At 35.3% G+C, this 17806-nt stretch overlaps 1 protein-coding gene across 52 annotated transcripts in view; it reads right to left on the bottom strand.

The window, feature by feature from the left end:
* Nucleotides 1-17806, bottom strand: part of EHBP1 (EH domain binding protein 1) — a 372610-nt gene that overhangs the window by 3995 nt on the left and 350809 nt on the right. For all 52 annotated transcript variants that reach the window (XM_047443744.1, NM_001142615.3, XM_011532718.4 and 49 more), the window contains 2 exons: nucleotides 4859-4958; nucleotides 3677-3750 (listed from right to left, as the gene is read on the bottom strand). In XM_047443744.1, the coding sequence (XP_047299700.1) occupies nucleotides 3677-3750; nucleotides 4859-4958 (174 nt within the window). The remainder of the gene's footprint in view (nucleotides 1-3676; nucleotides 3751-4858; nucleotides 4959-17806) is intronic.

Below are 17806 nucleotides of genomic sequence, written 5' to 3'. Positions count from 1 at the left end.
TCTGTCATTACAGTGCTACATTAATATCTGTCTACAAAATATTAGTCAACTGTACAGGAAATAGCAATGTGCAGTGAATAGATTTTACATTAGCAAACTATACTTTTACTTCACGTTTGTTTTCTCATAATGGGAATAAATTATATAATATATATGTACACAAACTCATACATATGTATACATATACATATATATTTGAATGCTAATTTGAGAAATTAAGTAAACTATTTTTATCTTTTTTAAAAAATGTAATATTACATTTAAAATTGATCAAGATTCACATTCGCATGTTCAAGCCTAACTGCACTGACTTTGGCTTGGACAAACTACAATGTGGGTTCTGATTAATTTAAAGATTCCAGTGTACTTTTGCTACAAAAGCCATATCCTCTTGTAACAAATAGGATTAAGTTTTGATGCTGCATTTGAGCCAAAGTGTTGAAATAAAGAGATTCTGTTTATGTCCATCTGCACTGAGCTGTTTTGTTAGTTTAAAAAACTCTTTTTTATATATAGGGCCAATTATTCACTCCCTGATTCAGTTTATTTGCTGAAGTTGATAATTACCTTGAAAAAAGGCAAGAGAAATACCTATAAACACTTTAACAGAAAGGACCTAAAGTTCTTGTAGTAAACCTTCAACCTTGCCACTATAAATAAGCCTGGCACTTTGATGAAAATTAACACTAGTTTTGTAAAGAGCACATTGGGGGATTGCAGTCAAGTCTTATCTTTAGTTCCAGTCAACTAGCAATCCTGAAAGAGTTTGCATCATCATCAGAACAGGCCATTTGATAGGATTCTACCGCTGTACCTAATCAATCTATGGAAGACTGTGGCTGTACTGTGTAACAAAGCTAAAATAGATTTACAAATGGGGTTTTAGGGGATAAGCTCCTCCACAGGATTACATATTGATTTTAAATATAAAAAGCTTATCATATAAACCATAACTACAAAAATAGTGAACCTATGCATAAATCCCTTTAGAAGAGCGCCCACTTCAAACTCTAAGCCAGGAATAAATCAAGATGTACAAAATCCTAGAGAAGATCCATTTCTTGTGCAGAAAATGAACATACCACTTTCTAAAAGCCCACCCCAATGTGTGCAGAAATGAATTTATCTTTCTTGAGGGGGCATTAAATAATCTGGAACAAAAAAAACTATAGGAAAAGTATCTAAAAGATGTTTGTTAGCTTGAGGGATCCTACAACTTAGTTCAGTAGAATGAAACTCCTGCTATGAAAAACACCTCAGGAGAAAAAGGGTAAAAAACAGGCCAAAGTGATTATGGATTCTCAGAAGAATGGATGTATTGAATATTATTTTTTTTTGCTCTCAAACCAAGCTGTTAATATTTCTTTCAATGTGCCATGGTTATCAATATTCTATGCTGTTCTCCTGGTGAATGGTTTCAGCAGCAGATTTATTTGAAAAGATTTTAGTTTATTTATTACTAAAACCATCTTATGGCTACTAAGTAGGAGGGATGGGAAAAGAGAAATGAACTTTAAAATAAAAGAAAGCAAAACAAAACTAACTACTGTTGCTTATTCATGTGTTTTTTTCTGTGGTGTGTTAACACTTAAAAAGGCTATTCATCTGAATGTGTGTCCACTCTAAGGGTTGGCTCAGAGGACACTGTCTTCACAGAGCTGATCTTCACAGTGATCACCACCTCTCTGGGACAGCCCAGCCCATGTACTGCCCAGGCTAGTGGGGCAGGCCTCTTTCTTAAGACAGTATCTTTATTTGTAATCAACAGGCTGCTCCTTTTCTCAAGTCTCCTTTTTCCCTCAACCAGCAGTGGAAACTGGCCGAGAGATTTAAGGCACAGTCATATATATACAGACAATGTATTTAAAACACAAAAGAGAATGATAATGCAAAACACTAACAACTGTAGTAAAACTGCTTTAAAAAGAAAAATATTTTTCCCCTTTTCTTCAAATATATGACTTTCTACTGCTTTTCTGTATGTGCAAGCAGGTCAGGCAGATAAAATATTCGATTATTTAACACTGTAAATCTGGTATATAGGGATAGGACTGCTGAGGAAATTGAATTATTTAATGTGTCATGGCCCTGCTTTTAAGACAGTTATTTGGTTATAACATTGGTTTTGGGGTTAGAACCAATATCTATCTTAAAGTCAACTGTATTGTATCAAGCTGTATTTTGGGGATAGTTTATCTTTTTATACGTGAAAGTGTAGATAAAAATGTAAAGAATATTCTGTGTTGAGTGTAGTGTACAATGAATCTATAAATAATAAACTGTATGATGAGTTATATGTATTATATATACTATATATAAACATTATATATTACACATACATATATATATAATATAAATAGTATTTGCTGTGTCTACTTTTCAACTGACTATTTTGCTCTTTTAAAGACTATACCATGACTACAAAAACTATATCAAGAGGAAAAATACCATTTAGTATAGTTGTGCACTTTATTTCAATGGCACGTTTCACAGAACTTCTTAAATAATTTTGACAAATTTTATAGTCATTATCAATGCTATAATTTGATACATCTGGGTAGCCACTTGAAGGAAATTGGCTAACTGAAGCCTTTCAAAATAAGGTAAATCAGATTTATAAATGAGGATATACAAATGTTGCCAGTGATATTTATCAAATGAGTTTATGAATATAAAAGTAACTAAAAATGAAATGTCTACAAGCATATATGATAGTATTCAGACAAATAGCATGCACTTTGGTGACAATATTTATTAAAATATTTTAAGAATATAAGGCTTCACTTGGCTTTCCCTTACGTACTTAAATTTCCAGTTTCTGAACTAATTAGAATTGACTTATTATGGATCAGGTACCTTATCAGGTGAAGAACAAAATTACCATGGACAGTCAATGGGTTAAGAGGTCAATATAGAATAGGAAAATCAGTTTGCATTGATTAGACAAAAGGTCCATTTTACAGAGCCCAAAGGATTAGCTTTTAAGCAGACATCTTTGAACTATAAGACATTTTCAACTGAGATATAAGGAGAACAGCATTATAAAGCACCTAAGAATTAAAAAAAAATCATATATAGTAAATGCCAGATAAGCTAGCTGATGTTTACTGATATATGAACCATGCATAGGATTACTATATAATTCATTTAAAAGCTTTATGAAAAGCATGAAACTGTTTCATTTATCTTTTATGCCAATCTTTGCCCAGATATTCACTTAATACAAGTTGGAATCTTAAGAACTGTAGTAGACTGAACAGGAACATATTTCAATGTTGACATCAATTAAAGTAAAATTTAGAGTCTGGATGTAAAAAATCAAAATGATAAATCTTTTCCAAACCTCCCGAGTGGAAACAACTTTAAATCACACTTAAGTAAAATGTAATTAAATCAATCAACTCCTTTTATTTTCCATTTTATGGACATATAAGCTTACTGAATCAAAAGTTAAGACAATTTTGTGCTACTATTAATAGCAAACATAATGATTATCTATCTGAATTAGGGTCCTTAAGTTTATATGGATACTGCTTTCTGCCTCCACGGCATTTATTTGCAATTCCGGAAGGTCCCTAGTACACCAGATCTAGTAAGACCAGAAGTGTATTATATTCTTTAAATCTCTTTGACAACTGACACGTCACATACCTCACCCCACCATAGCATTTCTTACCTTCAATGGCTAGCATTGCCCTCAATTCCCGGTTCAGCAGCTCATACCGTCGTTCTAAATCATGTTCTTTTTCCCTGGGCAAGTTGCAAAAGTTCATCAATATGCTAATTACTAAATCATTAAAAACTTAAAAGAACCTTTAGGTTACATTGATTTTAGGACTCATAACTGACTTTTCTCTTTAAGTTTAAGCCACTCCAAATGAATGATACACAAACCTAAAACCTTCCTCAGTCGAATATTTACTAGTGCTATTATTTTCCTCCTTCAATTCTGAATGTTACATAGGTATATTTTAATCTGAGGATAATTACTCACTTTCTTCATTGCTTCTTGTAGTAAATGCCAAGTATAAGGCTATTTTCTAAAATATTTTTCATAATTTATAATCTCTTTTTTCCAAAACTCCATATGAAAAGAATACAAGAAACATGAAAGTACCAGCAGTGCAAATTTAATACAGAGACCACAATTCAGGATTTGTAAAGTTTTGTGCTTCTTCATAACTCTTTTATCAAGTTCAGGCATGGCAGAAATTATAAAATTAGACTTTTTCACTAAAATAAACCACGTAAGCCTGCTCATTCTCACGCTAGGTGGCATACTAGAAGAATACTGCTAGTGAGCAGAAAGGAACGTGCTTAAGTCCTCCGGTGAACTAAAATGCTAAAAACTAAGAATGCTTACATTTTGTCTAGACTCCATTTTACTGTAATTCTTATAATCACAAAAAGGTCACTTTTGTTTTAGTAACTTATCTTTTATCCCAAAATTTAGAGTAACATCACCTGAGACTATAAATGTACTTTTGTCCTTATTAAGAGTTATTTTATTTAACTTAGAATTTGTTGTTAAATAAACTTTAATTTTATTTATCTTCCCCTCTCTCAATATAAACCAAACTTCCTTTCCTTGTATAAGTGATTTACTTCTTAAATACAATAATTGTTTATATTCCTTGGCTTTCTGTATAATAAACACTTTTTCAGTGTCTACTGTTCCATTTAAAAATTCTTATAAGATGAAAACTGTCATATACTATTTTTTATTTTTTTATAAAACATGTAATCGCTAAGGAAAGGGAAAATACCGAATAAATATTAAATCCCAAAGAAGGCAATAACAAGAGGCCTAAGATTTATCAATGTTGTAGGCAAAACAAGCATAATGATGAGTACTTACAGAAGAGAGAGCTGATTCATTCTCCTTATTAAGGCATTTTTCTTATTAACTAACATAAACCATTCCTGCATCATAGCTTCTTCTTCTTCTGTGTTCCTTCCTATAATTCGGGAAGAGTTACCTTTTACTATACGATGTTAAAACAAGCCAAATAGTAGTTTAGCACATAATTTTTTAAACATAGAAAACATTTTACTTATTCTAATACTATATATTAAACTGCTTATAAGAAGGTTAAAGTCTAAGTCCTGAAAAAAGAAAAGTCAATCTTAAGGTGGTATTATTCGGCATGCATATTTTACTCTCCGTGAACATACCGATAGATCATATTAACACTAAGTACAGTAAACAAAATGTCCTACCTTTTAAATTCTCCCTAGAGGCTGACTTGCTATTATGTTTCAATAAGGAACTCACAGTGCTGAGAGACATATGGTCATGATTAAAAAAAATTAAAAAATCATTATGAGACTCATAAGACTAGCAGGAAGATCAGGGAAGTCCAGAGATTGTGTGAAAGTTTCCATTTTTAACAACTTGCTATTTTCTTATTTTCCTCCCCAAAAGTAAACTAGAGATATATATGACATTTTGGAACTCATCATCCCTAATAGGGTAGACTACTTATAAATTACTAAATACACTGTAAATTACCAGGCTACAAAAAAATACCCACAGCTATCTATGAAAAAAAAAATTTAATGAACATCATGATGTTCAGAAAACATGTGAGCAGAGTGACAACTGAACATTTTAGATTATAACTGATTGTACACAGGAGATACTTAAAATTCTCCATCGCTAATATCCATCCCATCATCTAATACCACCCTGCCACTTCCTCACAAAGGCCAATATAATCCATATTAAGGATTATAATATAGTATATGTTTGGCATTTGTTCATGTAGAAGTAGGCCACAATTATACTGAAGAAAAATATTAATTTTCCTAGCTTCCTTTCTCTCCCTTCAAATTATACCTAGTCGAATTTCTAATTCTTCAATGTTTATTTACTGAATTTTTCCCATGACTGGTTTATTGTTTTGCTAAGCTAGTATTTAATATTTCAGTCTAACTTCTGTATGGCATTCATAAGGTTAATTTAAATATCTATTAAAAATTAAATAATTCCCTTCAGATTATTATTCCCTAAGTTTGATTTTCTTTTCACGTAAAATGTCAAGGATAGCCCTCTTCCACCAACCCCACACTTCCCTTCTCCACAGGTAAGTATGATTATAGTTTAACATATCTCCTTGAGACCACATTGATAGCTATGTCTATCACACATGTGTATATACTGTATCTATAGACACATACATGTTTCTTTCACATAAAAGCTCATATTACATATTCATCTATGATTTGTTTTGTCATATTGTCCAAATATCTATCTCATTCTTTATAGTGCTTGCATAAATTATGAGCATACCATAATTTATTTAAGTATTTCTACATTAATACAAATTTAAATAATTTTTAGAATACAAATAGAATATAAAAAGCTAATCTGTGTGTAAGGGATTAAACATGTATTTCAGAGCATCCCTATAAAATAGATAGCTGTTGTTTACCAGTAGGGAGAATAGTTGAGAATATATGCCTTCATTCAATGCTGTTAAAACTAATGGTACGAAGCCGACTTAGGACAGATTCTTTTAGAGTCTGAACAAAAGTCTTTATTGTTTTACAGTATTTTTAATCTCTCTTTTAGGGTAGCTGGTTTTGTATTCACTTTGGACCATGTGATGTCTTGACACTGGTCATGTGATATAGGCTGCGATAGGCACAAATCCCTGGGTAGCAACAAAAGAAGAAAGAGTAAAAAGAAAAAGCTGAGAAAAAGCTTGCAATTTGGAAAAAGGCCAATTGTACCCTGGTGAAGGCCTTTTTGATCAGTGAAATGCCACATGTGTGCAATATTAATAGGTGTAGATTTTATGATATTTTACTTTCCGATTAAAGACTTAATTCTTGTGTTCATAACCTATGTGATTTCTAAAAATATAGACTTATTAAAACTTTCTTTTGCGTTTAACTTAACCTATAATTTGAGGTTTTCAGGCAATACTAGAAGCAATCAGCCTACTCTTAAATTAGCATCATTTTCTTCAATGGAAGGCTGCTTCCTTCAGAATAACAATATTGATGTGGTACTGTGTTATTTTCAGTTAAACTTATGCCTATGAATTCTAGTGAAGAATAAGAGATCCCCTTCCTCTAATTGTTAGGAAATGACTAATAACAAAAGAATCTCATGTTTTACAAGGAAATAAGCCTAACAATAAGAAATATTTAAGGACACATTACTCATTGCTTCACAGAGCATTTAACTGGAAAAACATATTTGAAGATAAATCAATTCTGTATCACCAAATCCTTATCTGCGATAGTATACAATGATGGACATCTATACGTAACCTCATACTAAAAAAATTAAAATTTCTTCTAATACATCATTACACTATTGTTTTCAGGGCTCTCAAATTTTTTAAATTTAAAAAGCTTTTAAAAGCCAGTAAGTTGAACCATTACAAATTAATCCTGACTTTAATAACTGGTTAAAGACCCCTTTAGCTTTATAAGTAACAAAAAATATTAAAGCCTGTGATCACAGTGAGCTTTTCTCATTTCTCCTCTAACCATTTGTTATTTAATCCAATACTAGTAATCCAATTTGTCCATCAGACTTTTAAAGGGCAGAATGCAACTTCCTCAGCTTAGACACTTTTCAAAGTACAATATATTTTTCAAATGAATGCTGGATGTTTCATTTTTCCCAACTGTTCGTAGCTCTAATGCATGAGGAAAAAAAGAACAAGATGAACATTGTTCATACTGATTAAGTAAGAGCTCATTAAAGAGCTGTCAGTGCGGTACTTTGAATATGCATGAAGCATATAATCAGATCTAGTACCGTCACTAGAGGAGAATACGGTAAGTACAAAGGATTGATTTAATTACTTAGAGTGGGCTGTGGTGGTAAAGCAGTCTTGTTAGTGCAAAAAGAAAAAGAGGTTGTATTCTGGCACTGCTAGAAAAAAAGGCAGTTTTAGCTTCTGCCACAATACCTAATCTCAGAATAAAGCACTTTACATTGTAGCTTAAAATGAAGACTGTCATTATTTTATAAAATGGCCATAAATCGTTTAATCTTATTTAACCTAACCTGGTTAACTACCTCTTTTTCAAAATTATCTTTAATTTGTAATTACAACCACATTTTTGTCACCTAGACCAACAATAATCCTTTTTAAATTTTTTTTTCAGTTTCACCATTTAAAAAATTCAAGACATACAATATTGAAAGCCATTTTGAAATTAAAAATGACAAAATAACATACTACAGTATACAATTACTAAAATGTGAAAGCATGGCTGAGTTGTTACACTATATTTTAAAACATAGTACCTCATGTTTATTATAAATAAATTACCAATAAAAACATAAAAACTACTTAACTAGTTTTAGCCTTAACATTTTAAAGTATTGGACTACTTAATATAATCTCTGGTAATATTTTTTCCTACTTTGTTTCCTTAAAAACTTGTTTTTTATTTTGCCTCCAAGACAATGTAACATCTATTTCGATATCACAATCCTTAAAGTCAGTTTTTTCTTTTAATCCGTTATTGCAGCTGGAGTATGATTTGTAAAAATTATTAAATAATCAAGGATAATGATAATAGCAGGAAAAGTAACTATTTGTAAATATAACTTCAAATTATTCTTCCTATCACATAGTTAACAAAAACCACTTGATAGAAGCATATGATGCAGAGCAGTACATGCAATAGTCAGTGTTAACTGACAATATCAACTACTTTACATTACATATCTTCCAAGAAATCTTCAAAGTTATTATTTTTATTTAGCAATTCATTCATTTATCCAAGAATCTGTATGTAATTTTTATTTATTTTTTCAGAAGTAGTATTTTCAACATAAGTTTTAAAATGAATAAAAGTGATGTCAAAAACCAGAAATTATGAATGTTTTAAAAACTGTCTTCTCATTAGCTTTTCCTAATTAATCTTTCACCATAAAATTATCTATCTATAAAGATATATTTTAGACAATGAATTCTTATATAAATGCAAAATAAGGAATAAAACAATTTTAGCTGAATAGAAGACGAATTCAATGGGAAAGAGTAAATACATATAAATGTAGGCTGCTGTTATACAAGTACACAAATTCAAGATTTTCTACCATGAAATCATTAAAGAATGCTGAAATCTTGCCATAGCCCCATAGTGGTGATGGCTGAGTAGTAATCACATATAGCCCTTAAAGGACAGAACATAGCAAAGCTAAACCAAACACAAAAACAAAAAAACCTGCCATTACAAATTGTCCTGATGGTGATTATAAGAATATGATGACCTTTGAAAGACATATGACAAAAAGACATATGATACATGAAGGTATCCAAGTAACTGGTATTTAATGGACGAAAGAGATGAATTTGGTGCAGTTATTTAGGGTCATGTAGACATTAACTCCAAAGCCAACATTATTGCAGGACTCCAGTGCCTCAGTTTTAGAAAATATTTAAACTTAGGAAATAGAGCTATATTATGAAAATAAATTTTACTACAAATGTTTCTGATCCAACAATATCCTCAAACAGCATCAGCATAGAAGAATCTCATAATCTTGATGTTTTCAGCAGTTTAATTGTCTTAAAACCATTTGCTCAGCCTGATATATTTATAATATTAAGAGTACAAACTTTGGGAAAAATCCTGTCTCCTTTGGTTGAAGCAAAAGAAAAACTGCCATATTCTCTCACACATATCTTTTATTTACCTGTCTGCTAAGATAGAATGTGGGGAGAGATGTGAGGTAGCAACTTTCTACACACGACTTCTAACAGACCCCTGTGCATGGACTTTCTACAGGAGGAGGCACAGACAACTTCACCAAAGTTCTTCCTCAATAAACTTACACATAGGAAGAAGCTATTTCTAAAGGTTGGAAGTTTACAGCAGTCTTCTTGTACCAACTCCTTACTCCTTAATGGGGTCTGAACTGACTTTTTTTTTTTTTTTTTTTTTTTTTTGAGACAGAGTCTCGCTCTGTCGCCCAGGCTGTAGTGCAGTGGCGCGATCTTGGCTCACTACAACCTCCGCCTCCAGGGTTCAAACAATTCTCCTGCCTCAGCCTCCAAGTAGCTGGGACTACAGGCGCCCGCCAGCACGCCCAGCTAATTTTTTGTATTTTCAGTAGAGACGGGGTTTCACCGTGTTAGCCAGGATGGTCTTGATTTCCTGACCTCATGATCCACCCGCCTGCGCCTCCCAAAACGCTGGGATTACAGGCGTGAGGCACCGCGCCCAGCCTGAACTGACCTTTTTTTTTTTTTTTAAATCATTTTATTTATTTATTTTTTAAATTATACTTTAAGTTGTAGGGTACATGTGCACAATGTACAGGTTTGTTACATATGTATACATCTGCCATGTTGGTGTGCTGCACCCGTTAACTCGTCATTTACATTAGGTATATCTCCTAATGCTTGAACTGACCTTTTTTATACTGAAGGTCAGCACTGGATTTCTCAAAAGGTAACACACTAAACACAAAGTTAAGGCAGAAATAAAAAAGCATCAAAGTAGTCATTACGGAAAAAAATATAACTGATAAAATTATTTATATTTACTTATAGCTTAGGTTTTTTTTGTTTTTGTTTTTTGTTTTGAGACAGGGTCTTGCTCTGTCACCCAGGCTGAAGTGCAGTGACACGATCTCAGCTCACTGCAACCTCCACCTCCAGGGTTCAAACGATTCTCTGGCCTCAGCCTCTCGTGTTGCTGGGATCACAGGTGTGCGCCACCACACCTGGCTGATTTTTGTATTTTCAGTAGACGTGGGGTTTCGCCATGGTGGCCAGGCTGGTCTCACACTGCTGGCTTCAAATGATTTGCCCACCTCGGCCTTCCAAAGTGCTGGGATTACAGGTGTGAGACACTGTGCCCAGCCAATAGTTTAGTATTTTTTTTAAATTACATATGGATGATGATGCATCCATAACTTTTTATTGCTAAGAGCCTTTAAAGGTAAATGACTCACATTTCAGGTAACGCATGACTATCTTGACAATCTACAGATGAGCATTTGACTAAAGTTAAAACACTCAGAACTCCAAAGCTGTATTTATTTTTTAAGGTACATTTAATGTATTTTGTAAAATAGGATAAAATACAGTCAGTCACTTTTACAGGCATAATTCTACTGGATAGACAGTAGTCTTCTTGGAGAATCAATTAAGCGACCTCTAGTAAGGGGAAAACTTGAATTGTAAGCTTCCCTTACAGATGGATGCCTCCCCCTGACAGCTCTCCACTCTCCTGAAGGCCTTTTTGTTTGGGCTGCATCTGGCTGACTCCATTCTACCCACTCCCTGTCCTATAGCCTTCTCACAGTCATGTCATGGGAATGACTCAAGTGGCTCTAGAAGTGACAGATATATTAATATCAAAGATGAACATGAATAGTTGAATAAAATAATTTCTTTAAAAGTGGGAGTGGAAGCTGGGCGCAGTGGCTCACGCCTGTAATCTCAGCACTTTGGGAGGCCGAGGTGGGCGGATCACCTGAGGTCAGGAGTTCGAGACTAGGCTGGCCAACATGGTGAAACCCTGTCTCTACTAAAAATACAAAAAATTAGCTGGGTGTGGTGGCGCATGCCTGTGATCCCAGCTACTCAGGAGGCCAAGGCAGGAGAATCACTTGAACCTAAGAGGCGGAGGTTGCAGTGAGCTGAGACCACACCACTGCACTCCAGCCTGGACGACAGAGCGAAACTCCATCTCAAAAAAAAAAAAAAAAAAAAAAAAGCTGGGTGTGCGGGTTCATGCCTGTAGTCCCAGCACTTTGGGATGCCGAGGCAGGCAGATCATTAGATCACAAAATCAAGACCACCCTGGCTAACACAGTGAAACCCCGTCTCTACTAAAAATACAAAAAAAAAATTAGCTGGGTGTGGTGGTGGGCGCCTGTAGTCCCAGCTACTTGGGAGGCTGAGGCAGGAGAATGGCGTGAACCTGGGAGGTGGAGCTTGCAGTGGGCCGAGATTGCACCACTGCACTCCAGCCTGGGCGATAGAGCGAGACTCCGTCTCAAAAAAAAAGAAAAAAAATGGAAGTGGAGAAAAGCAATATTTCTAGGTTAATGTATTTTAAGATGTGATTTTTAAATGTGTGTGTGTGTGTGTGTGTATATATATATATAGCTAAATATTAAAACAGATATTTATAAGCATTTATACATTCATGTAGGCCAAAATTTCAGGGGGGATATTGTCATTGGGAGAATGGGGTTCATCTTTATTTAGGTTATTTGGATACACGTGATAGAGCAACTGACTCATAAATGAACTTTAGAATAAAGACCTCTTATAAATTAAGGAGCATATTATGAATGTTTACTTACATTAATTCTGAGAAACTCCTGTAGATATAACTATAAATTCTGGTAGTGTCAAGCATGATATATAATTACATAGTATCTATAGTTTCATGGTTGGTTAGATCAGTCATTCTGAATATAATGCAAATAAGATGAACATTGCATCCACACCCAATATGGCTTCTGTTGGCCAGGCATGGTGGCTCATGCCTGTAATCCCAGCACTTTGGGAGGCTGAGGTGGGCAGATCACCTGAGATCAGGAGTTTGAGACCAGCCTGACCAACATGGTGAAACCCCATCTCTACTAAAAATACAAAAAAATTGGCCAGGCATGGTGGCGTGTGCCTGTAATCCCAGCTACTCGGGAGGCTGAGGCAGAAGAATCGCTTGAATCTGGGAGGTGAAGGTTGTGAGCTGAGACTGCGCCACTGCACTCTAGCCTGGACGACAGAGCAAGACTTCATCTCAAAAACAAAAAATATAGCTTTTGTTCAGTTTAGCTTTTAAAAAAAATTGAGCCCCTTGATCTCAGACTAATTATTGAAACTCTCTAAACCTCAGTTTCTTCATCTCTATATGGATAATGGTATTACTTACTTCACGATTGTTGTAAGAATTGAGAAAATCCACATAAAGTACTTAGTGCAGAACCCAAGACTACAAGCTATGATGATAATAATGAAGGGGGTGATGATGGTGTATATAGCCCTGAGGCAGGAACTGGAGATACAAGATAACCAAGATGTGGTCCCTGCCCTCAAAGGCCGCATAATCTAGTATGGAGACAGACATAACCAGGGATAGCTAGATGAAGGGTAAATCTGTAAACAATTTCATGGACACAAATTGTATTTTTAATCTTGGCTCCCATAACAAAGTCTATAGTTAGTGTTCCATTAGTCATATGCAGGATAGGTGAAAAATGTGGGTGAATCAGTACAAACCCATCTCTGCAGCTGGAAAAACAAAGCAGATGCCCTACAGGGTCAGCAGTGTCACTGTGGCCTACAAAAGATAGCCATAGCTATGGTAACATAACAATGTGGCTGTGCTCCAAATAATGATAGTCTAGTTATTGACAGTGGGTTTTAGAGACTTAAAAAAAAAAGTAGATAATGGAATACTGCTTAATATCAAAAAATAAAAAAGGTACATTTTAAGATTGAAAATTATGGACTAACAGAACACATCTACAAGTTTGCTGGTTATGAACATAAAGTTTAAAAAATGAGAATTACAATATGAAGTACAAATTGATATAATTTGAAGAAAAGAATGACAACAGAATATCAAATACTTATAAAGCAAAAAGCTTCAGTGGGAAAGTAAGTTTTCATCATTTTTATAGGAAGATATTTTGGTGTTAAAAGCACAGCACCTTTAAAATCAGCTTATGAAATTGTCAGTGTAGATGAAATAGCTTATTTACTAAATGCCAAGTGGGACTGTGATTAGATTCTACTGAAAGTATGGAAAATTAAATATATATAATTTTTAAAATATAGAAATACAAATTCAGACAGATAGGTTTTAAATGTGTTCCAGATAGGTTCCTTCCAATAAAGGGTTTCTCCAAAGATGTATCATGCAGTCGGACAACTACTCTTGTAGGTAACCTGCTCCAGTGTTGCTTAAAGTCTCTACAAATTGGCTGGGGGTGGTGGAGCATGCCTGTAGTATCAGGTACTCAGGAGGCTGAGGGGAGGATCACTCGAGCCTAGAAGTTCAAGGCCAGCCTGTGGAACATAGCAAGACCAAAACTCTTAAAAAAAAAAAATCTTTAAAAGTCCTTAAAATATCGTACCCAGGGTGTCTCCAGAGCCTCCAGTTTCCAATAAGGGATGAGTTCAACCCTCAATTAGCTGCCTGCACAGTAAGTTTCTTTTCCACTCTATACCTGCTTTGATCATGCTTGGGTTCAGATAACCAGGTAACACTGTGATATATCCTTCCTATGTACCTTCTCATTTACTTATTTAATTGACAAAAAGCGTATATATTTATCATGTCCATGTTTTGAAATAGGTAAACATTGTGGAATGTCTAAACTATGGTAATGAACATATGGATTACATCATATACTTATCTTTTTTTGTGGTAAGAACACTTAAAATCAACTCTCTTAGTAATTTTGAAGTAAAATACACTGTTAAAGGCCAGGTGTGGTGGCTCACGCCTGTAATCCCAGCACTTTCAGAGGCCAAGACAGGAGGATCGCTTGAGCCCAAGAGTTCAAGGCAAGCATGGACAACATAGCGAGATCCTGTCACTGAAAAACAAACAAACAAACAAACAAAAACATATACTCACCACGTTGTACAATAGATTTGGTGAACGTATTCCTCCTATCGAACTGAAATTTTGTATCCTTTCACCAACATCTTCCCTGACCTTACCCCTACCTCCCCTACCATCTTAGCCCCTGGTAACCACCACTGTGTTCTCTATGAGTTCAATGTTTTTTGATTATAAATATAAGTAAGGTCATATGATACTTGTCTTTCTGTGCCAGCCCTATTTCACTTAACATAATGTCCTCATATGCACCTTCCTAAATATCTATAGGGGAGAGCTGATGGGAATTATGCTTCCCCACTTGCAGTCCGCACCCACATTTGTTCTCAAACCACAGAAGCCTAAGCAAAGCAGGACAGTGTAGATCCTTCTCCAGCAGCTTTCTAACTTGAACAGGATTTCAACAATTACACAACACCTTGAAATCAAATGCAATAAATGCTGTTCTTCCAGACCAGGCCAGGTGATTAGTGTGAATTTCAACACTATAATACCACATCCAGTGCCCCTCAGTGGTTCTCTGGAGAACCATTCTCTTCACTTGAGTACACATTATCTTCACTAGAGTACACTCATGACGAACTTGGGTCTGTATTGCCATTTCCTGAAGTTGAGAACAACAATGTCTCAAAGAGACTGTCATGTATTTCCTTCATCAGATCACTGACAACCAATAACTTTCTTATAGGCTGGGAATAATAATGGTAGTGATGTTGATGATGATAATAATAGCATCAACTGTTTAATGAGGTTATATAATTTATCTCAAGTCATATAGCTAGTCAGTGGTGGAACCAGGCCTCAAATGCAGCCAGTTTGTCTTGTGAGCCACCACTCTTAGCCACCCATTTGACACTTAAGGACTCACAGGTAATCAGTCTTACCAGAACAGGCTCTTTATTTAGAATTCAGGCCAACTTTGACAAAGCCTTCAGAGTGGCTCTGATAAACAAATGAACACAAAAAACCTTCAAAACTCTGATAAACAAGAAAACCCTCATGCTGTTCACTTAGTTCATCCATAACAGAGGGGATTTCATTTAGTCTTCCCATGTGTATGCCATTGGGACTTAGCAATGATGTCAGAGCAGCATACCATTCTTCATAGGAGGAGTCAACCTTTCTTCCTATGCAAACATGTCCATAAGATCCTTGAATTATAGGTTGGTATATGATTTCTTACAGAAATGGGATGCCTAGACGAGACCTGTTCACTTCTTGGGTAACCACAAGTTACCTGTGATTCCAATTGAGGCAATGGAAATGGCCATTCAATGAAAATGGCCAAGCAAGAATACTCTGCCTAGCACTGGATTATCAGGATACATTCAAGTCCAGCTATGCTCTTTAAGAGCTATATGAACTTGTGTAAGTTATTTATTCTCCCTAAGACTCAGTTTCCTCATCTGTAAAAAGGAAACAATGGTACTATTTCATAGAGTTCTGTGAAGACTAAATGAATTCAAATATGTAAAGCACTTAGAATAGTGCCAGGCTCATGGTAAATAAATGCTATGTAAGTAATATGATATTGCTATTATTGTTTCTTTCTTTCTCTCACTCTCTATACACACAGACACACACACACACACACACACACACACACACACACACACACACACACACAAGGTAGAGAGCCATATTCATTACTCAAACTTCGGTATCCTCTCTTGATTCCTAGAATTATTGATAGAGCAAGGCATGGTGATTCCTCCCAGCAGAGTGTCAGAGTTTTTCTGACTGCCTATGCAAGCATTAGAAAGGACTATCCACAGAAGTAAATATGTTGGGCAACTCAGTGCAAGTCTGAAGTTGTTAGTTTCATTGAGTATATTTCTAATGTCTTTATGTATTCATTTTACTGCACCAATCAACCAAAATGCATCCTAACATCATTCGGCCTTTTTAAATCCCCTCAATGCACCCAAACCCATCAACTACGCATTACCCATTTTTCTTTTCTTAAAGCAGCTACTCAATTGCAAACCCTCCATTAGACATTCCCCTTTCCAAGGTTACACATGTTCTGTTAAGTGTATTCCAAAATCCTTGTGCTAATTGCCATTTTGTTCAGTTAGAAGTCTAGAGAAAATCTAATGTGTGACTCCCAGAATCTCTAAAATTCCCAAGGATTAAGTTACTTTCATATTTCTTCTCAACTTAATCCCCAGGATATGTTCAGTTGCCCCTTTTATCATGATATAAATTTTAAAATACCCCATAGAGTGAAGAATATCATGGTACCCCAATAGTTCACCTCAGATTCTGGCATAAATCTTATGCGTCAATCTCAAGCAGTTAGCTTTATGTCCTTGTGTTGTAATGTCCTTTCCCTTCTCTCCAAAGCTACAGCCCATTTAAAAAGGGCCAGAGCCTCACGCCTATAATCCTAGCACTTTGGATGGCCGAAGTGACAGGATCATTTAAGCTCAGGAGTTCAAGACCAGCCTGAATATAGCAAGGCTTTGTCTCTACTAAAAATCAAAAAAGTTAGTTAGCTGGGTGTGGTGGTGTGCACCTGCAGTACCAGCCACTCAGAGCCTGAGGCGGGAGGATTGCCCGAGCCCAACAGATGGAGGCTGCAGCGAGCTATGACTGCATCAAAGCAATCCAGCCTGGGTGACAGATCAAAACCCTGTCTAAAATCTGTTTAGTCCTCACAATACACCTGTTGACACAGTACTTCATTTTCATTTCCCATACTTGTCGCCATCAAATCAAATTACGTATTTCAGAGCTTAGCAAAATATCTACCTAATCTACACTAATAATTTTGTAGGATGATTTTAAAGAAAACATTTTTATCATCTATAAATGATGGAAACTAATCTTTTAATGAAATTCCATTATCTAAAACCAAACTTTGTTGGCTTTATGAATGTTTAGTACTTTTTTCTAGAATGGCATTCTACTTTTTTTTTTTTCCCAGAGTGGATCTCGCTCTGTTGCCCAGGCTAGAATTCGGGAGAGCAATCATAGCTCACTGTAACCTTGAACTCCTGGGGTCAAGCAATCCTCCTGCCTCAGCCTCCTGAGTAGCTGAGACTACAGGTGCACACCACCATGTCTGGCTAATTTTAATTTTTTTGTAGACATGGGGTTTCACTCTGTTGCCCAGGCTGGGCTCAAGCAATCCTCCTACCTCAGCCTTCCAAAGCACTGGGATTACAGGTGTGAACCACCATGCCCAACCAGTATTCTACTTTTGAATAGCAATGTTCAGTATAACTTTGAT

The sequence above is a fragment of the Homo sapiens genome, chromosome 2 (assembly GCF_000001405.40).
Source record: "Homo sapiens chromosome 2, GRCh38.p14 Primary Assembly".
Taxonomy (NCBI): Eukaryota; Metazoa; Chordata; class Mammalia; order Primates; family Hominidae; genus Homo; species Homo sapiens.
This window is presented reverse-complemented; position numbering and strand designations above follow the sequence as displayed.